This window comes from Homo sapiens, chromosome 1, assembly GCF_000001405.40.
Source record: "Homo sapiens chromosome 1, GRCh38.p14 Primary Assembly".
NCBI classification, from domain to species: Eukaryota; Metazoa; Chordata; class Mammalia; order Primates; family Hominidae; genus Homo; species Homo sapiens.
In genome coordinates this window covers 156329119-156350317 of record NC_000001.11, presented here as the reverse complement: position 1 = coordinate 156350317, position 21199 = coordinate 156329119, and the positions used below count along the sequence as shown (strand labels likewise).

Genomic DNA, 21199 nt, shown 5'->3' with positions numbered 1-21199 from the left:
TTTTTTCCAGTGAAAACCCATAAATATCCACTAACTACATTCCACAGTAACATTTTATTCTACTTGCTTTTTTACATAACTATACATCTATCCATTAATCCATTTTATTTTTGTACGCATTTCAGAGTGAATTGCAGACGTCAGTATACTTCAACCCTAAAACCTTCTGTATGCATAGCATTAAGTACAGTTCAGTATTTATTTACAGTTTTTTAAGGTAAAATTTATATCCAGTAGGCCTGGCGCAGTGGCTCACATCTGTAATCCCAACACTTTGGGAGGCTGAGGCAGGAGGATCACATGAGGCCAGGAGTTCGAGACTAGCCTGGCCAACGTGGCAAAACTCGTCTCTACTGAAAATACAAAAATTAGGCATGGTGGAGGGCACCTGTAATCCCAGCTACTCAGGTGGCTGAGGCATGAGAATTGCTTGAACCCGGGAAGCAGACGTTGCAGTGAGTGGAGATTGCACCACTGTGCTCCAGCCTGGATGACAGAGTGAGACCTTGTCTCAAAAATAAATGTTATATCCAGTGAAATGCACAAATCTTAAGGGTACCGTTTGATGAATTTTGATAAATGCATAAACTTGTGTAACCCAAGCCACTATATCAAAATATAAAACCATCAACCTATAGTTTCCTATGCCCCTTCTGTCAATCCCTATTCCAACTCCTCCCCCAGTGGCAACCACTATTTTTAGTTTTATCTACCATATATTAATATTGCCTGTAGTAGAGCTTCAAATAAATGTAATGGTACAATGTGTATTCTTTTTTTTTTTTTTTTTTTGAGATGAAGTCTCGCTCTTGTCCCCCAGGCTGGAGGGCAATGGCACAATCTCGGCTCACTGCAACCTCTGCCTCCTGGGTTCAAGCAATTCTCCTGCCTCAGCCTCCTGAGCAGCTGGGATTACAGGCGCCTGCCACCACACCCAGCTAATTTTTGTATTTTTAGTAGGGACGGGGTTTCACCACGTTAGCCAGGCTGGTCTCGAACTCCTGATCCACCCACCTCAGCCTCCCAAAGTGCTGGGATTATAGGCATGAGCCACCGCGCCTGGCCAATTTGCGCCTGGCCAGTTTGCACCCAGTCGGTGTGTATTCTTTTGTGTAATACTCCTTTCACTCAATGTAATGTTTTTGAGATATTTTCATACTGTTGCATTTATGAGTAGTTTGTTCTATTTTATTTCTAAGTAGTGTTCAATTGCATGAATGTAACAGTTTATTCTAACCTTTTTATCATTATGAAATGTCTCTATTTGTGACAGTACAGTTTGTCTTAAAGTTTACTTTACATTCTCTGATATTAATATAGCCATTCCAGTCATCCTCTGATTACCTTTGGCCTACTATATCTTTTTCCATCCATTTACTTTTGCCTAAATGTTTTTAAAGTATGTCTCTAATCAGACTGACTCCTGAGAGTTTTTTTTTTTTAATGCAATTCTAGCAAGATTTGATAGCCTCTTTCTACCAAATAGGGTAAGATATTCTAGGCTTATGTTGTATTTTTTTTCCTGCCTGAGACCTGAAAACAGTCATTTCTTCAGGATTCTTCCTTCCTTTCTTGAAAAAAGTGGTATTTAGTGACTATAATCTGGGTGCTAGGGGTATTGTTGCTACCAAGTTAATCACTGTTTCAAGGCCTTTTCAGTGAGCATTACTTTTTGGGAAAGGTGTAGGCAGGGTCTAATTTTTTTGCATGTGATGTCCAATTGTTCCAATACTATTTGTTGAAAAGACTATCCCTTCTCCTTTGGATTGTCTTTGCTCCTTTGTCAAAAATCAGTTGACCATATTTGTGTGAATTTTTTCAAGAGCTGTCTATTCTGTTCCATTGGTATATGTCTATTCTTTCACCAGTACCACACTGTCTTGATTAGTGTAGCTTTATATTAAGTCTTGAAGTTGGGTAGCATCAGTCCTCTCAACTTTCATTCTCCCTCCACATCAAAATGTTTTGCCCGTAGTGTTTCTACTATCTTACATGTGTCTCATCACTATCTGGAAGCTGACAATGGCTTTCCAGACTTTTTTTTTTTTTTTTTTTTTTGAGAGGGAGTCTCGCTCTGTCGCCCAGGCTGGAATGCAGTGGCACAATCTCAGCTCACTGTAGCCTCCCCGTCCTGGGTTCAAGCGATTTTCCTGCCTTAGTCCTTAGCCTCCAGAGTAGCTAGGACTACAAGTGCGTGCCACCACGCCTGGATAATTTTTGTATTTTTTAGTAGAGACAGGGTTTCACCATGTTGGCCAGGCTTGTCTGTAACTCCTGACCTCAAGTGATCTGCCTGCCTCAGCCTCCCAAAGTGCTGGGATTACAGGTGTGAGCCACCGTGCCCAGCCCCTTTCCAGACCTTCTAAAAGCTGCCATCAGAATAATTCTGCAGGGAAAGCTGACTTGCCTCAGCTCCTTTACATTCTATTTCACACTCTATATTCTGGAGGGGAAAAACTCTTCCCCTTATTTGTGATGACTTATTCTCCTACTGATATGGTTTGGATGTTTGTCCCCCCCAAATCTCATGTTGAAATGTAATCTCCAGTGTTAGAGGCAGGGCCTGGCGGGAGGTGTTTGGATCATGGGGACGGATCCCTTATCAATGTCTTAGCACCATCCCCTTGGCGATGAGTGAGCTCTTGTTCTAAGTTCACATAAGATCTGCCTGGTTAAAAGTGTGTGGTACTTCCCTTCTCTTTTTCTCCCTCACTCTCTTGCTCCCTCTCTTGCCATGTGACACGCTGCTCATCTTTGCCTTCCATGGTGATGCAGAGCTCCCTGAGGCTCTCATCAGAAGCAGATGTGGCACACACAGCCTGCAGAACCAAACCATGAGCCAAAATAAACATATTTTCTCTACAAATCACCCAACTTTAGGTATTTCTTTATAGCAATGCAAGAATGGACTAATACGTCTACCTCTAGGTCTTTGTCCAAGCTTCCCAACTGATATGGAACTACCTGACTTCATCTGTCCATGCCATCCAACCCCTCCCTTCTTCAAGTGGCATCATGAAGCCACTTTCTCCAGCAAGATTCTAAAATTGGTCCAGTTGTATCCTAGTAACCTCCAGTGTTAGTTCTTAACCTCCATCCTCTTTCAGAATACCACTACATTTTGCAATGAATTGTCTGCTTTGTTAGACAGTAATCCCTGCAAACTCCTTTTGTAATATGTAACCCCAAGTGCCTTGTACAACGCTTTGCACTCAGTGAGCACTTATTATGAACCTGTGAACAAACTAACCATATGTAGAATACATATACCCAGATTCCAACAAGGGTTTACTGGGAAGAGAGAGGAAAACAACACAATAACTTTGTTCCACAATTCATTTACTGAATTGGGGCAGGTGATTTAACAATGGATTAGGAGATAAGGCTGGGAGAGAAGAGTTATTGCTTCCCCTCCCAGGAGCCAGTTGTGTCACAGATGCCTGTAAATGTTCCAAAACAGCCATCTGTTGTTGGGCGAGCTGGGTCTGAAGCTGGAGGTTTGCATACATACATTCCAGGAGTCCTAGGCATTCCTTGGGCTTGTGATCAACTCCAGAAGGAAAAGCAACGGAGGTGCAAGGGAACAAAGGAGAGAGATTTGGTAATTGTACTGAGGTTGGAAGGACCCTAATAAAATGACCTCTCCAATCTTTCCAGGCACAACCCAACCCAGACATACCTTTGCCCAGCTGTCACCTCCCAGTGAGGCATACCTGGCTATCCTATTTTAATTTGAAATCAATCACTGGAACTTATTACCCCCTCCCTTGTTTCACTTTTCCCATAATATTTATGGTCATATGGCATATTTTATAATTACTTAATTTTTGTCTAAGTCCCCCTTCTAGAACGTAAGCTCCAGGAAGGCAAGGATTTTTATCTGATTTGTTCACTACTTTAACCCTAGCACCTAGAAAAATGCCCAGCATATAACAAATATTTGATGAGTGAATGAAATGGTCTGGGAGGGAGGCCTACCTTCCCTAGAGCTCAGGGGATACCTCAGCCTCCTCTGTTACTTGACATAGTGTATCATTAGCAGTGACCTGAAGTTCCCTAACTTCAACCATTCTTGCTACATTGGTCCATTGTTTTTTTTCTTTTTCTTTTTTTTTTTTTTTTTTGGAGACGGAGTTTCACTTGTCACCCAGGCTAGAGTACAATGGTACGATCTCAGCTCACTGCAACCTCCACCTCCTGGGTTCAAGCAATTCTCCTGCCTCAACTTCCTGAGTAGCTGGGATTACAGTCATGTGCCACCATGCCTGGCTAAGTTTTGTATCATTAGTAGAGACGAGGTTTCACCACGTTGCCCAGGCTGGTCTCGAACTCCTGACCTCAGGTGATCCACCTGCCTTGGCCTTCCAAAGTGCTGGTATTACAAGTGTGAGCCACTGCACCTGGCCAGTCCATTCTTTTTCTAATATTTTTCTTTTTTCTTTTTTTTTTTTTCAATGGAGCCTTGCTCTGTCTCCCAGGATGCAGTGCAGCGGCACAATCCTGGCTCACTGCAACCTCCACCTCCCAGTTTAAGCAATTCTCCTGCCTCAGTCTCCCAAGTAGCTGGGATTACAGGCAGGTGCCACCATGCCCAGCTAATTTTTGTATTTTTAGTAGAGATGGGGTTTCACCATGTTGGTGAGGCTGGTCTCAAACTCCTGACCTCAGGTAATCCGCCCGCTTTGGCCTCCCAAAGTGCTGGGATTACAGGCATGAGCCACCGAGCCCTGCCAGTCCATTCTTTTGTTTGTTTTGAGATGGAGTTTCACTCTTGTTGCCCAGGCTGGAGTGCAATGGCCCAGTCTTGGCTCACTGCAACCTCCGCCTCCCAGGTTCAAGCAATTCTCCTGCCTCGGCCTCCTAAGCAGCTGAGATTACAGGCACCTGCCACCACGCCCAGCTTATTTTTGTATTTTTAGTAGAGACAGGGTTTCACCATGTCGGTCAGGCTGGTCTGAAGCTCCTGACCTCAGACAATCCACCTGCCTTGGCCTCCCAAAGTGCTGGGATTACAGGGATGAGCTACCGTGCCCAGCCACTTTTTCTAATATTTTACACAGCCAGTTAACCTTGGTAATTATATTATCTGCTGTTTGTATTTTTATCAGTCTTGACTTCTTTGTTGGACTCTGAGGTCCTCAAAAACAGGGGTTATGACTGTCTAGTTAGTGCCCTGTTGGGTTCCCCATAGCTATGCCAAATACCCACTGACCTCCCCAAGGGAAGATGAATGATGAAAATTCAAAGACCCTGAGACTGAGCTAATAGTTTCCTTCTCTAGCCACCGTTTTTTAAAATTTTACCTTCCCAAGTGAACAGGGGTAAACCTGGCCATCTTTTAACTAACATTACCAGTAAGCAATGAGAGGTTCACTTCACTCCTGCCTAGTCTAGCAAAAGTGCTAACAAGCAAGGAAACAATACAAGTTGGTAGAACTGGGATGATAATGATATCAATGAAACTAAATAATCAACAAGCTATCACGGAAAGATCTATAGATGCCTAACATAGATTTGGCTCTTGATCAATAGGCGACAGCTCAAGCCACCTCCTCCATGCAACCCTTCCCCCTGTTGAGTCCATTAGAAAACCCTCCCTACATCCTTACCCGAGGGCAGCTTTGTTGTCTGGATGTTCAGAAAAGTGGCTGGTGGGGAACTTGCTTGAAGATTAATATAGCTGGGGGAGGGTTTTGCTCTACAGAGAGGCACAGCATTAGCTTCCTCTTTGGCTGGAACTAAATCAGAGATAACTAAATCAGAGCTCATTCCAACAAGGGACAGCCTTTCTAATTAGATCCCTGCACCTGGTCCATGAAAGCAGGTGCCCAGGCCCTGCCGTGAATATGTTACATATCAGAAAGATACATAAGACAAAAAAGAAATCATAATAGGATTAAGAGAAACCAAGCAGGAGTGGGATAAGCCAAAATCTAATTTGTTTACAAGTTCTTACTGATATACACTACATGCTTGCGACTGTACTAAATCCTAGGGTATACATAAGATGTGTTAAGACATGGTTTCTTAGATGCTTAGTATCTAGTTAGGAAGACAAATCAGACACAGGTGAAACAGTGATCTAACAACATGAGGACATAAACAATGAGTCTGAGTCTGGGGTGAAAATAAAAGCCTTTTATCTGTTAGTTATACTATGTGATTAAAGGTAAAAATGAATGTTTCTTAAAAGGGAGAAGAGATCAATATGAGTAGCGAGAGAACTCTACCTCCTTTCAGGTAGAGGATATTTACTGAACCTTAAAAACTTGAGAAGCGGCTGGGCACGGTGGCTCATGCTTGTAATCCCAGCACTTTGGGAGGCCAAGGCAGGCAGATTACCTGAGATCAGGAGTTCAAGACTAGCCTGACCAACCTGGTAAAACTCCGTCTCTACTAAAAATACAAAACTAGCCGGGCGTGGTGGCAGACGCTTGTAGTCCCAGCTACTTGGGAGGCTGAGGCAGGATAATCACTTGAACCCGGGAGGCAGAGATTGCAGCGAGCCGAGATCACAACACTGCACTCCAGCCTGGGCAACAAGGGTGAGATTCCTTCTCAAAAAAAATGAAACAACAACAACAAAAAACTTGAGAAGCCAGGCTATACTGGTGAGACCACAATCAAGCCCCTCTCCCTAACAAGGATTGGCCTGTGACCCAATACAGGCCAATCATGGTATTCCCATCCCCCTTGGCAACTGTGACTGAGCCAAGGGATTAGGCGCATGAGGTAAGTTGGGCCAGAGTCATTCCCTGGGATCAATATATGGATTCTGTGTCTAAGAAATTTACTTTCTTCTGATCTCCTATTCTGAGAAAATGTATGGTTGGGCCCAGTGAAAGCTATTTGGCTAGCATATCATGAGAAGTGGAAAAGCAAGAGACTAGAGACAAGGAAAAGCATAGGAGAGAGACAGATGGATACACAGACACCAACAGGCACCAAATCCCCAGTTTTAGTCCCCGAGGCCCTGGTTTTTGCCGCTCTTCTTCCCATTATTCTGTGAGCTATTTCAGCATCTCTCCCAACTGCACAAGTCCCTGAATTGCCTTTTTTACTTAAAGAAGTTTGAGTAAAACTCAACTCTCATATTAACATAATCACATCTGGACATATTGAATCTGAGGTGAGAGTAGGAAATCCAAATAGAAGTGCCCAGAAAAACAGCCAGAGAGCTGGCACCGGAGCTCAAGTGAAAGGTCAAACTGCCAGGCAGCCCCAAAAAGGGGATGAAGGAGCTGCAAAAATACATTAGCTCTCCAAGGCAAAAAACAGAGAGAGAAAAACTGAACCTTCAAGGAACTCCTCCTCAGGAGTCTAGAAGATGAAAAGGAAGTGGCAAAGTAGACAAGGGCAATGGATGGAAAGTCAGACAGCTGGAACTAGGTAAGAATTAAAAAGGCAAGACAGTAGGGAGACAATAATTCACTGTTATAATGAAATCAAGAAAGGATGGTAAAACAATTCATTTTCATCATACACATAAGAGATAGCTAAGTGCCTATGTGTCATCGCTGTGGATACCACAGTTTGCTAAACAGAAGTGGTCACTACTCTCCTGGAACTGACAGTCTTGCTGTGCAGACAGGCATTAGGTGATCAAGCACACATGCTATTACACTTCAGTAAGTGCTATGAAAGCAACTGACCTAGTCTGTAGAGCTGGAAAACATGTCCTGAGGAAATAATATCTCAGCTGGGATCTGAAGGATTAAGAAGGGCCTCTTCATAAAAAACAAGCCTGGGGGCAGAAGTGTGAAAAGTAGGTTGTATGAAGGAAAATGTCTTATTCTTGTTCTTTACTCAGAGGGCAACAGAAGGAATGGCCTGGTAAGAGGAAGAAGTGCTTATATGTGGGTGCCAGGGTGAGATGCTTTCTGTCTGGAAGGTCACTGAGCCTATGAAAACTGAAATCTGTTCTGTCAGTCACTCTTGGTGAGGGAAATATGTTTTTTTGGTTTTGGTTTTTTTCTTTTGCACTGGGTTACTGGGTTTGTGGATTTTCCAGGCTCTACTGGTAGGTCATCCATCTTCTTTTCCCTCCTGCTCCAGAGTCATCAGTCACTTGATGGCTTGTGCAGAATGTGGTAAGGAGACAGAAGTTGAAACTCAGGTCTCAAGATTCTTCTCAATAATGTGTTAATTTCCATGCAAAATGTGTTAATTTCCATGCAAATGCACTTTTAAATAATTTGAGTCCTTCCTGGACATAGGAGAATGCATTTTTTTTTCTTTCTTTTTTTTTTTTTTTTGGAGACGGAGTCTTGCTCTGTCGCCCAGGCTGGAGTGCAGTGGTGCCATCTCGGCTCACTGCAAGCTCCGCCTCCCAGGTTCATGCCATTCTCCTGCCTCAGCCTCCCAAGTAGCTGGGACTACAGGTGCCCACTACAATGCCCGGCTAATTTTTTGTATTTTTAGTAGAGACGGGTTTCACCGTGTTAGTCAGGATGGTCTCGATCTCCTGACCTCGTGATCTGCCTGCCTCAGCCTTCCAAAGTGCTGGGATTACAAGCGTGAGCCACTGCGCCCGGCCAAGAATGCATTTTATACTGGGTTATAAGGTTTGAAGAATGCTTTACACATTTTTACACAAGGTGGCATGAGAAATTAAAAATTGTTTTTTAATTAAAGAAAGAGACTGCTTTACACACACTCTATACTAAAGGAGCTGTATTTCTGACAATGTATAACAGAGGATGAGGGTGGAGAGAGGCAAAAGGAGGCAGAACAGAGGATATGATAATAAAAGGTGCTTTACATACATTCTCTTATATGTTTCTCACAATGACCCTTAAAGTAGGGTCATTGTGGATACCACAGTCTGCTAAACAGATGTGGTCACTACTCTCCTGGAACTGATAGTCTTGCAGTGTAGACAGTCATTAGGTGATCAAGCACACAAACTATTACATTTCAGTAAGTGCTATGAGAGTCTTGTGGCACTGGGGAACGTGACCTGAGGAATGTAGATAAAGTAGGTAGCTTTACCTACATTTCACTTGAGGAAACTTAAGTCATGAAATTTGCTCAAGATTCCACAGTTGATATGTGTGGCTGCATGAATAATGTTTTTTTAGTTAGGCCTAGCTTTATACCCTTAGCCCATCCCTTAGTAGCAGTTAATTTAAATGTTTCGATCTGTTGTGGGGTTAATAGTATTTTCTAGTAGAATCGTGAGCATTAAATAAGTGGTAAACTGGCCAGGCGCGATGGCTCACGCCTGTAATCCCAGGACTTTGGGAGGCCAGAGTGGGCGGATCACTTGAGGCCAGGAGTTCAAGACCTGGCGTAACCCAGTCTGTACTAAAAATACAAAAATTAGCCAGGCGTGGTGGCATACACCTGTAATCCCAGCTACTTGGGTGGCTGAGGCACAAGAATCACTTGAATCAAGGAGACAGAGGTGGCAGTGATCCTAAGTAGGTAAACTGCTTAAGAGGGTCTGGCAAATAGCAGCTGGAATTAAATTTGGTCCTGTAGACTCCAAAGTCATGCTCTTTACCACTGCACTATATACTCTGTGAAAAGAGCCAGTTAATTTATGCCCAAGCTGGGGCTGGGCGCGGTGGCTCACACCTGTAATCCCAGCACTTCGGGAGGCCGAGGCAGGCGGATCACCTGAGGTCAGGAGTTCGAAACCAGCCTGACCAAGATGGCGAAACCCCATCTCTACTAAAAATACAAAATTAGCTGGGCGTGGGGGTGCACGCCTGCAATCCCAGCTACTCGGGAAGCTGAGGCAGGAGAATTGCTTGAACCCGGGAGGCAGAGGTTGCGGTGAGCCAAGGTAGTGCCACTGCACTCCAGCCTAGGCAACAAGAGCAAAACTCTATCTCAAAAAAAAAAAAAAAAAAAAGGCCGGGGGCGGTAGCTCACACCTGTAATCCCAGCACTTTGGGAGTCCAAGGCAGTTGGATCACAAGGTCAGGAGATTAAGACCATCCTGGCTGACACGGTGAAACCCCGTCTCTACTAAAAACACAAAAAAATTAGCCGGGCATGGTGGCAGGTGCCTGCAGTCCCAGCTACTCAGGAGGCCGAGGCAGGAGAATGGCGTGAACCCAGGAGACGGAGCTTGCAGTGAGCAGAGATGGTGCCTCTGCACCCCAGCCTGGGTGACAGAGCGAGACTCCGTCTAAACAAAAAAAAAATTATGTCCAGGCTATGGAATGGTAGGTCTTTCAGATAATCTGATCCAGCTAAAGTTAAGTGGATAGGCTCTGGAGTCAGAAGGCCTCAGGCATTTCCCTGGCCCACCAATGGGGCTGTCCCACTACAACTCAGTATCTCTTCACTCTAGTTAACACCATGTCTTCTAAGATCCTGTACATAGTCTTGTTCTAAGTATTAAGAGGAGATACAAAGGAAGAATAATAAATTCATTTAACAAATAATTACTGAGCATCTACTATTTAACAGATCCAGTTCTAGGTGCTGGGAATACAGCAATGCTCCCATTTAGTGGGGAATGCAAAGGAGGTCTTGCTTTTTAAGGGAGGGGAAGCAGGGCCTCCAACACACACCTTTTCTGTTAGGATGACTAGTGTGCCGCTCCATCTGAACACCAACAGGTGTGGTGCCTGGGAAAGAATCATAGCATCAGATGATCAACAATCCATGTTAGTATTTTCACTATGATAATTTCCTAAGTTGTCTCCAGCAGATCTCAGCCTGTTCCAATCTGCAGAGGAAAAAGTAGGAAACTCTATTTCATGGCCAAACAGGTGACTGTTCTTGAACTGTTGGTGCTCTCACGGCCCCTTCACTAGTTTGGAAAACAGTTTTCCTTTAGTGCTTCCTTTTTTTTCTGGACAAAATAGTAATTTAACCAAACCCAAACCTTAAACGTCTCTGACGAACAGGCAGTTACTTTCCGTGTTCTCACCATGTTTAATTTCCACGGTATGATAAGTCCTTCTCCTATCCCGAATGGTAATTTTAAAACTCTGGCTCCCCATCATCTCTAACTAAGACTCAGGACAGCGGGAGAGGGATGGATGTGGGGGAAAAAAATCTCAAAGCACCACAGGGAATACTTTTTTTTTTTTTTTTGAGATGGAGTCTCGCTCTGTCGCCAGGCTGGAGTGCAGTGACACGATGTCGGCTCACTGCAACCTCCGTCTCCAGGGTTCAAGCGATTCTCCTGCCTCAGCCTCCTGAGTAGCTGGGATTACAGGCGCGCGCCACCACGCCCGGCTAATTTTTGTATTTTTAGTAGAGACGGGGTTTCGCCATGTTGGCCACGCTGGTCTCGAACTCCTGACCTCAGGTGATCCACCCGCCTCGGCCTCCCAAAGTGCTGGGATTACAGGCGTGAGCCACAGCGCCCGGCGGAAATACTTGGGAAAATATTTTAGATAGGATAACTTAAGGAAACGCAAGCCATCACCCTCCGGTACTGCTCACAGCCTCACTGAAAGCATTTCCTAAGAAGGGAAAAGTCCACATACAGCCATTAGTCCAGAGGCGATAAACCACAACTCCCAGTGTGCCCGGAAAAAGGCTGCGCAGTCCGGCCCGGTAAGACTACAACTCCCACTTCACCCTGCGCCAAGCCGGCAGGTCTTTCCCCCATGTGCTGGCTGGAGTCCCGCCTCTCTAGTCCACCTGTTGCTAAGGCTAGACCAAAAGAGTGGGAACTGTGAAGCCTTTCTTAGCCTTCACGGTCCGATAGGAGCCGAGTCGCAATACACAGTTTAACGACCTCACCTGCGGTGTTAACCGAAAGCCGCAACCCCAGCACCCAACCCTAGAGTTGACACACATGCGTAGTGGTGTGCTGGCCAACTGCCAGAGCCTTGGCGCCTGCGCCGACGTTCGCGCTGCACGCGGCCGGGAGCGGCCACCCTACTGCGCAAGCGCCTGTGCCCTCCCAGTGCCTTCGTCGTGCGCTCTCTGTCTAACTTGTCTGGCCGTTCTTGCGTAGGGGGCGGGACTAAGGCTGTCAATTGGTCTGTTTTTGTGCCGATCAATGAGATGGGTGCGGTGATTGGCGACTACCTTGAGAGTAGCGGGTTGAGGTGTAAGCCCTGAGGAGGCAGCGTTTTCTGGGCTTCTGTCTGGTTCTCTCTCTCCAGAAGGTTCTGCCGGTTCCCCCAGCTCTGGGTACCCGGCTCTGCATCGCGTCGCCATGATGGGCCATCGTCCAGTGCTCGTGCTCAGTGAGTTCTGGGGATGCCAGGAAATGGACCCCCTTTTCGCCCTCTTCTGTCCATACTTTTCAGTGTTGCCCCAGCTCCGTCCCCCACTGACCGGGCCACTGAGCCTTCCAATCATCGTCTTCATTTTGGAAGCCCAGTGTCCCGCTTTCCTCTCTTCTCTTAACCTGTTCGCTTCTCTGCACAAACTCAAACTGGCCTTATTCTCGCCGAGCCTCTTTCCTTGACGTGTGCTCGTCTTGGGAAGCTCTTTCCCACTCCGCGTTCTGTCCCTCAGCCCCCACGCTTCCCCCGCCCCTGCGCCCTTTCTAGCCTGATTGTCGCTATGTAGCTGCACGAATAACGTTTTTTTTTGTTTTTTTTTCAGTTAGGTCTAGCTTTATATTCTTGGCCCATCCCTTAGTAGCGGTAATTTAAATGTTTCAATCTGTATTACGGAGTTAACAGTATTTCCTAGTAGAATTGTGAGAATTAAATGAGGTAAGTCGGTAGACTGCTTAAAGAGGGTCTGGTAAATAGGTAATATCCTTGGTCACTTTACGTTACATTTATTTTCAGTAACAGTCTCTTGAACAGCAATCCCTTTTCCCGAAGTAACCGTACTTGCCTCACTGATCTTAGATGTAATCGTTCCCTCCGTGTCCCCGGCGTTGTACTCTTTCCCACTAACCAGTTGGGTTTTCCCAGATTTCTCGACTGGTCACCTTTTCCTTTTGGAAGATCCCTTATTTTTTTTCTTTTTATATTTTGAGACAAAGTCTCGCTCTGTCACCCAGGCTGGGTTGCAGTGGCGCGATCTCTGTTCACTGCAACCTCTGCCTCCCAGGTTCAAGCGATCCTCCTGCCTTAGCCTCCCGAGTAGCTGGGAGTACAGGCGCGCGCCACCACGCACGGCTAATTTTTGTATTTTTGGTAGAGACGGAGTTTCACCATGTTGACCAGGCTGGTCTCCAACTGCTGATGAGCTCAGGTGATCCGCCCACCTCGGCCTCCCAAAGTGCTGAGATTACAGGCGTGAGCCACCGCGCCCGGTCCCTTATTTTTTTCTGATGAGCACCACCTCCATTGTCTTCCTTTGGTATGTTTCCATTCTGTGTGTAACTTCTGTACCTCATCTGCAGAGCCTGGCTAGCCATCTCCCCTCCCTTACCGTCTTCTGTATACTGACTGCCTTTCAGAGTTATTATTCATTATCTCTGTACCTGGGAAATAACTTTTAAGGAAAAAAATAAAATAAAAACGCTATTTTGAAAAAAAAAAGCCGCCTTCTTTCTGATGGATTGTAGGTCCATGCAGGTTTTTGGTTACAGCTCCCTGAGATAGATGTAAATCCTAAGCATTGTGGGTGTTTTGGTTTGATGGGACTGGATTGAAAGATTTACAGACTTAAATTGTAAAGGAAGGTAATTTAGAGAGAGGAAGGAAATAAACATTATGTTGGTTTGGTTATAACCACTGGCTTGTCTCCACTGACATGGCCTGGGGGTGAGTGGTGTATTTGCAAAGCTCCTTTCAGGTCTGCATTAATCTCTGGCATTAGTTGGCTGTGACCGATTAGCCTCCCAGTTAAAGTATGTAGTCAGTTCTTAGTGATGGTAAATGGGTTACTGAGGCCTTCTTATTACATCCAATTATGAGGTGACTATATAATTTATCTTGCAAACTGTTGAGTGTGTTCTAAACAGTATGCTGTGGGGGCGCTATCACTAATTATGCTGGACCTGTTAGAGTATGATCCCCCTATCCAAGCAGAAAAATGTGAATCCCCAAACTCTTTCCCTGCTTACGCAAAGCAATGAATGGTCATTTCTTAGGGTCACCAGCCCTTTGAGAATCTGATAATAGTTGTGGATCCTCTTTCCGGAAAAAAAAAAAATTGCAGTATCTCTCATTTTCTCACATAATCTCAGGGAGTTCGCTATCCCACTAAGGCCCATTCATAGATCTCAGGTTATGAATCCCTGCTGTAAATATAGGAATATTTGGTTAGAAGAAAAGTATTAACCAAGATTCCAAAGTTATTTCTTAATATACCAAGGATTGAAATACAGAAGGAAGTTAACAGCCATAAGGACATATGTTTACAGTTTTTTGAGATATGGTTGACATATAATAAACTGCACTTATTTAAAGTGTAGAGTTTGATAAGCTTTGCTCTGTGGATATACCATGAAACCTGCATTCTTATTTTTCAAAGACGGGGAAATAAATAGCTTGTGTACGATGGGGCAGTCCTGGGCTGTTGACTTGTGTTTTTGTCTATTTTAGGCCAGAACACAAAGCGTGAATCCGGAAGAAAAGTTCAATCTGGAAACATCAATGCTGCCAAGGTCACAAATCTTTTAAGTGTTTATGGTAGTTTGCCTCCAGCTATCTTTCCTGGTATTTGGTCATAGCCATGTGTCCTGTGCATCTAGACTTTATAGAGTAGGCAAATAGGCAGAGGAAAAGTTGACCTCTTTCAGAACATTTTCCTGATGATGTTAGGGGAAAGGAAGCCCTCCCCTTCTGAGTTAGGACTGATAATCTTCTCGTATTAACTTGTGCATTATTCTGTTGCTGTGTATTGTTTTATAGTATTCTATTTGTGTTTGTCTCCCATACTAAACTGAGTTACTTGAACATAAGTACTTTATTCCCTTTTGTATTCCTAGTGCCCACCGTAGATCTTGGATAGATATTCGGTAAATGTCTTTTGAATGAAATAGTGAAATAGCCTTATATCTGATTTAGGATGGTGTAGAGGCCACCGTCATGGAAAGAAATACTAAGACATGGACTTCTAGTAATTAGGACTGCTGGGAAACAAGCTCTGGGAGCCATTTCCCCCTTATTCTTGTGAAAAGTCATTTCTGTATCCATTCTGAAAGCATTCCCAAGGGGAGAAAAACAACAGAGCTAGCCACATCCTATATCTAAAGTGGCATGCTATGTCTAAAGTGATGGCTAACCATGCTTTAGGGGTGTCATTAAAAACACTGACTCTGGCTGGGCGGAATGGCTCACGCCTCTAATCCCAACACTTTGGGAGGCTGAGGCAGGTGGATCACTTGGGCCCAGGGGTTTGAGACCAGCCCGAGCAACATGGTGAGACCCCATATCTAAAAATAAAATAAAATTAAAATAAAATAAAACACTGACTCTGTGGGTTGTTCATGCCCCTTTTCCCTATTACTCCAACATTTCTCACACTGTCCTCTGATTTGTGCTTGCGTATTTTATGTTCCCTTTCCATTAGACTATTGCAGATATCATCCGAACATGTTTGGGACCCAAGTCCATGATGAAGGTAGGCTTATCTCTTCCTAAAACTCTTAGGCTACAATTTTTTTCTTCCTGTTATCTAGGACACTTTAAATATAACTTTTGCTTTCATCTTAGATGCTTTTGGACCCAATGGGAGGCATTGTGATGACCAATGATGGCAATGCCATTCTTCGAGAGGTGTGTTTTGTTTTTGGTTTTGTTTTTTTGCTTTCTGACAGTTCTGTAAACATAAAGGACCTGTTAAGATACAGGCTCTGATTAGTTTTTTAGGGCTGCTATAACAGATTACCAGAAACTGGTTGGCTTCAACAACAGAAATTTATTATCTTATAGAATGAAGCTAGAAGTCTGAAATAAAGGCGTCAGTAGGGCCATGCTCCTTCTGAAGTCTCTAGGGAAGAACTCCGCTTCTCCCTTCTGATGGTTGCTGGCTTTCTTTGGCATGAACTTGGTCTCTGCCTTGGTCTTCATGTTATTCCCCTTGTGTGTCTCTTACACAAGGACACCGGTGATTGGTCTTCGAGCCCACCCTAATTCAGAATGACCTTATCTAACTTGGTTACATCTGCAAAAACCCTATTTTAAAATAAAGTAAAATTCACAGGTTCTGGGAGTTATGACTTCAACATATCTTTTTTTTTTTTTTTTTTGAGACGGAGTCTCGCTCTTGTCACCCAGGCTGGAGTACAGTGATGTGATCTCGGCTCACTGCAGCCTCCGCCTCATGGGTTCAAGCAATTCTTCTGCCTCAGCCTCCTGATTAGCTGGAATTACAAGCGCATGCCACCACACCCGGCTTAATTTTTGTACTTTTAGTAGAGACAGGGTTTCCCCATGTTGGCCAGGCTGGTCTCGAACTCCTGACCTCAGGCGATCCACCTGCCTCCGCCTCCCAAAGTGCTGAGATTACAGATGTGAGCCACCATGCCCAGCTGGCTTCAACGTATCTTACTGAAGAACACAATTCAGCCACAATAGTGCTTCCAGTAAATAAGCTAAAAGATATCGTTCTGTCCTCTGGCAGCTTTAATAGTTGAGTTCATGTAATACACTTTTTCCCAAAAAGGATTTGGAAAGTGGTTTACTTAAGCTATTTGGGGTGCCAATTTTAATCTTTCAAGATATGGTAAAACATTAAAGGGAAAGTAAGTACGTATAGAAGCAAGAAGCCCAAGAGTTAGGGCCAAGCTTCATGAGTTCAGAGGTCTTTGAATAGTGTGAATTCACTAGTGATCTACCTTTTTAGATTCAAGTCCAGCATCCAGCGGCCAAGTCCATGATCGAAATTAGCCGGACCCAGGATGAAGAGGTTGGAGATGGGACCACATCAGTAATTATTCTTGGTAAGAGGAGAATAAGAGGTTGATAAGGAAAAATTAGAAGTAACACCTGTGTCATATTTTAAGAAGGAAATTCTGTTACAGATCCACTAATTACAGATATTTAAATAGCTTATTGGTTATTTTCTATGTATTCTCTCCAGTTGGGTATAAAACATTTATATGAATAGGGTGAGCTATGCAAATCTGGCTGATAAACTAATAGTTAATTCTCTTTATTCACTGTAAGTTATAATATTCTTTTTTTTTTTTTTTTTTGAGACAGAGTCTCACTCTGTCACCATGCTGGAGTGTGGTGGTGCGATCTTGGCTCACTGCAACCTCTGCCTCCCAGGTTCAAGCGATTCTCCTGCCTCAGCCTCCCAAGTAGCTGGGACTATAGTCACGTGCCACCACGCCCAGCTAATTTTTGTATTTTTAGTAGAGACAGGGTTTCACCATGTTGGCCAGATGGTCTCGATCTCTTAACCTCGTGATCCGCCCTCCTTGGCCTCCCAAAGTGCTGGGATTACAGGCGTGAGCCACCACGCCTATAAAGTCACCACAAACACTGAATTGGCAAATAATAAATCATTGCTTCTATAGGAAATACAGGGTTAGATACCTATAAGCCTCTGGTCACACTTTCATCAACTGATAAATATATACCTTATTGTATGTGTTTGTCTTCAAGACACCCATTTAATATATATAGTTGATTTATTAGCATTGAACTCATAGCCCATAGCAATATAACTCATGCCTGGACAAAGCTCACCTAACGTATTTTCTCTGTAAGGCACATCACAGCCTTCTTGCACATAGAAGCATTAGCTAGCACTTAAGCACTACACTTGTGAGCCATTATAAATACCGAAATCATCAAGAAAAATGTGAAAAACATAACCTTAAATATACTGCATAAAGGACACTTTTTTTTACAGTGTGAGAGCTAAAGGCCTTGTTTAACCTCACCTAGGAATGTCATTGGGTGACTCAAATTTTTTGCCATTCTGTGAATTTCCATGAATGACTATGAAAGTGTCATGAATGTTGATTTTGGGGTTACAAATAATAAGAAATGAAATCTTTAGGATAATGACCCTGGGCTATGTAAGTTTAAAGACTAATCTTTCTACTTCCTATAGGATCATAAAGAATTATTTTTCAAATCTTGGCCTATTGCCTTTATTGTGTAAATGTCAAGATGATAGTAAAATTTTTATACTAGAAACACTGGTTTTAAAAAATCTGATTGCAACCAAGTGTGGTGGCTGACACCTGTAATCCCAGCACTTTGGGAGGCCAAGGTGGGCAGATCACGAGGTCAGGAGTTCGAGACCAGCCTGGGCAACATGGAGAGACCGCGTCACTGTAAAAAATAAAAATCGGCTGGATGTGGTGGCACACACCTGTAGTCCCAGCTACTGGGGAGGCTGAGGTCGGTGAGGCAGGAGGTTGAGGCTGCAGTGAGCCGTGTTTGTGCCACTGCACTCCAACCTGGGCAACAAAGCAAGACCATGTCTCTTTTTTTTTTTGAGATGGAGTCTCACTCTTGTTGCCCAGGCTGGAGTGCAATGGCACAATCTCGGCTCGCCGCAACCTCCCCCTCTCGGGTTCGAGCGATTCTCCTGCCTTAGCCTTCCAAGTAGCTGGGATTACAGGCATGGGCCACCATGCCTGGCTAATTTGTATTTTTAGTAGAGACGGCGTTTCTTCATGTTGGTCAGGCTGGTGTCGAACTCCCGACCTCAGGTGATCTGCCCGCCTCTGCCTCCCAAAGTGCTGGGATAATAGGTGTAAGCCACCACGCCTGGCCTGAGAGGGACTATTTTAAAATAAGGGATGCTAATTTTATTTATTTATTTATTTATTTATTTATGTTTTTGAGACAGAGTCTTGCTCTGTCGCCCAGGCTGCAGTGCATTGGCGCAATCTCAGTTCACTGCAACCTCCACCTCCCAGGTTCAAGTGATTCTCCTGCCTCAGCTTCCCTAGTAGCTGGGATTACAGGCATGCGCCACCACGCCTGGCTGATTTTTGTGTTTTTAGTAGAGACAGGGTTTCACCATGTTGGCCAGACTGATCTCGAACTCCTGAGCTCAGGTGATCTGACAACCTCGGCCTTCCAAAGTACTGGGATTACAGGTGTGAGCCACTGCGCCCAGCCAAGGGATGCTAATTTATAGTGTTGGCCCACATACCTAAAAATAAAGTTCTTAATCAAAATTATTATTATTTATTTTTCGTAGAGATGGGGTCTCATGTTGCCCAGGCTTGCCTCAAACTCCTGGGCTCAAGCAATCTCCTGCCTCAGCCTCCCAAAGTGTTTTTCTTTTTGAGATGGAGTCTTGCTGTGTCACCCAGGCTAGAGTACAGTTGTGCAATCTCAGCTCACTGCAGCCTCTGATCCCGGGTTCAAGCGATTCTCCTGCCTCAGCCTCCTGAGTAGATGGGATTACAGATGCCCACCACCGCGCCCGGCTAATTTTTATATTTTTAATAGTGACGGGATTTCACCATATTGGCCAGGCTGGTCTTGAACTCCTGACCTCATGATCCACCTGCCTCAGCCTCCCAAAGTGCTGGGATTACAGGCTGTGAGCCACCGTGCCTGGCTAAGCCTAGCTAATTTTTCAAATTATATTTATTTATTTATTTATCTTTGAGACAGAGTCGCCCAGGCTGGAGTGCAGTGGCACAGTCTTGGCTCACTGCAGCCTCCACCCCTGGGGTTCAAGTGATTCTCCTGTCTCAGCCTTTCTGTTAGCTGGGATTACAGGTGCCCGCCACTGTGCCTGGCTAATTTTTAGTAGAGATGGGGTTTCACCATGTTGGCCAGGCTGGTCTCACCACGCCTGGCCTTATTTATTTATTTTTATTTTTAAATTTTATTTATTTATTTTTGTGTGACAGAGTCTCACTCTGTAGCCCAAGCTAAAGTGCAGTGGCATCATCTTGGCTCACTGCAACCTCTGCCTCCTGGGCTCGTGATTCTCATGCCTCAGCCTCCTGAGTAGCTGGGATTATAGGCGCATGCCACCAAGCCCAGCTAATTTTTGTATTTTTAGTAGAGGTGTGGTTTCACCATGTTGGCCAGGCTGGTGTCAAACTCTATCAACCTCAGGTCATCCACCCACCTCAGCCTCCCAAAGTGCTGGGATTACAGGCGTGAGCCATAGCGCCTGGCCCTATTGTACTGCATTTTAAGAATGGTGAGTTGAATAAAAATGTCCTTGAGAGTCACAGTCAACTAGTCCATCTTTAGATCCAGTTCTTTTGAGGATTCAGAACATAGCCAGTTATGGACTTTTAGGGAAAACCTGGAAGGATGAAAGAGGAGGGAGGAAAGATTTCATACTCTTTTTTATTTTTTATTTTTTGTAATAGAACATGAGCTTTACATATCAGAGAAAATTTTCTAGCTGATAATTTCAGTTGAATCATCTAGAGATAGTGGGTAGAATAAGTATCCATGAGTCTAAGTATCTTAGATGTAGATGGATTTAAGAATGTGAAAAAGAACACTTGACCAGCCCTAAAGAAATCTTCTGTTACAGTTCTAATAATTTCTTAATAGGGTATATCCTTTTCTAAGTTATCTTACTCAGGCTTTTGCTTTTTTTTTTTTCGAGACAGAGTTTCATACTGTCGCCCAGGCTGGAGTGCACTGGCGCGATCTTGGCTCACTGCAGCCTCTGCCTCCCGGGTTCCAGCAATTCTCCTGCCTCAGCCTCCCAAGTAGCTGGGGTTACAGGCACCCGCCACCATGCCCAGCTAATTTTTGTATTTTTAGTAGAGACGGGGTTTCACCATGTTGGTCAGGCTGGTCTCAAACTCCTGACTTCAGGTGATCCTCCCACCTCAGCCTCCCAAAGTGCTGGGATTACAGACGTGAGCCACCATGCCCAGCCACTCAGCCATCTTTTAAAATGCAATAATATGCTGCTTAATGATGGGGATATGGGCTGGGCGCGGTGGCTTACGCCTGTAATCCCAGCACTTTGGGAGGCCAAGGTGGGCAGATCACGAGGTCTGGAATTCGAGACCATCCTGACCAACATGGTGAAACCCTGTCTTTGCTAAAAATACAAAAAATGAGCTGGGCATGGTGGCGCGTGCCTGTAGTCCCAGCTACTCGGGAGGCTGAGTCAGGAGTATCACTTGAACCTGAGAGGTGGAGGTTGCAGTGAGCCCAGATCACACCACTGCACTCCAGCCTGGCAACAGAGCAAGATTCCGTCTCAAAAAAAAAAAAAAAAAAAAAGATGGGGATACGTTCTGAGACAAATGCGTTATTAGGCAGTCTCATTACTATGCAGACTTCATGGAGTGTACTTTACAAACCTGGGTGGTACGGCCTACTATACACTTAGGCTGTATGGTATAGCCTATTGCTTCTAGGCCACAAAGCTGTATAACATGTTACTGTACTGAATACAGTTATAATAC

At 44.4% G+C, this 21199-nt stretch overlaps 2 protein-coding genes across 16 annotated transcripts in view, besides 2 other annotated features; one reads left to right on the top strand and one right to left on the bottom strand.

Moving 5' to 3' along the window:
- Positions 1-3322: 3322 nt before the first annotated feature.
- TSACC (TSSK6 activating cochaperone) lies at positions 3323-13004 on the bottom strand. Of its 12 annotated transcripts, none has more exons than NM_144627.5 (4): positions 12769-13004; positions 10527-10684; positions 5610-5738; positions 3323-3550 (listed from the first exon to the last, which is right to left on the bottom strand). In NM_144627.5, the coding sequence occupies exons 2-4, from the start codon at positions 10558-10560 to the stop codon at positions 3336-3338; spliced, it is 378 nt and encodes a 125-aa protein (NP_653228.1). In that variant the 5' UTR covers positions 10561-10684; positions 12769-13004; the 3' UTR covers positions 3323-3335. The 12 variants fall into 12 exon arrangements, 11 of the variants coding, with proteins under 11 accessions (NP_653228.1, NP_001291750.1, NP_001291754.1 ...); NM_001304821.2 differs by lacking the exon at positions 12769-13004 and adding an exon at positions 11454-11792; NM_001304825.2 differs by lacking the exon at positions 12769-13004 and adding an exon at positions 11454-11792 and having other exon boundaries at positions 3323-3539.
- Positions 11236-11295: an enhancer, noted in NCBI's record as "active region_1859". NCBI's record gives its function as "activates an Ori minimal core promoter by ATAC-STARR-seq in GM12878 lymphoblastoid cells {active_cell/tissue: GM12878}" and the evidence as "EXISTENCE:reporter gene assay evidence [ECO:0000049][PMID:35858748]".
- CCT3 (chaperonin containing TCP1 subunit 3) overlaps positions 12026-21199 on the top strand; it is a 29325-nt gene continuing 20151 nt past the window's right edge. Inside the window, exons 1-6 of one of the 4 annotated variants that reach the window (NR_036564.2) lie at positions 12026-12164; positions 13078-13239; positions 14430-14491; positions 15400-15450; positions 15543-15605; positions 16675-16771. Coding sequence is in view for 2 of the 4 variants with exons in the window: in NM_005998.5 (NP_005989.3) it covers positions 12134-12164; positions 14430-14491; positions 15400-15450; positions 15543-15605; positions 16675-16771 (304 nt within the window). In the remaining 2 variants the exon portion in view is untranslated. Of the gene's footprint in view, positions 12165-12528; positions 12642-13077; positions 13240-14429; positions 14492-15399; positions 15451-15542; positions 15606-16674; positions 16772-21199 lie in introns of all 4 variants that reach the window. The other 3 variants (NR_036565.2, NM_005998.5, NM_001008800.3) reach the window with 3 other exon arrangements.
- Positions 12216-12315: an enhancer, noted in NCBI's record as "active region_1858". NCBI's record gives its function as "activates an Ori minimal core promoter by ATAC-STARR-seq in GM12878 lymphoblastoid cells {active_cell/tissue: GM12878}" and the evidence as "EXISTENCE:reporter gene assay evidence [ECO:0000049][PMID:35858748]".

Bases quoted from the DNA above. Each gene is read 5' to 3' on its own strand.
- TSACC (NM_001304826.2), bottom strand. From the start codon at position 11,578: ATGGGGGAAAGACCTGCCGGCTTGGCGCAGG. The intron at 10,584-11,547 runs GTGAAGTGGGAG...ATTCTTTCCCAG, and splicing joins ACCTGCCGGCTTGGCGCAGG to GCACCACACCTGTTGGTGTT. The intron at 5,739-10,526 runs GTGTGTGTTGGA...TCTCTGATTTAG, and splicing joins TAGTCATCCTAACAGAAAAG to TTCCAGCCAAAGAGGAAGCT.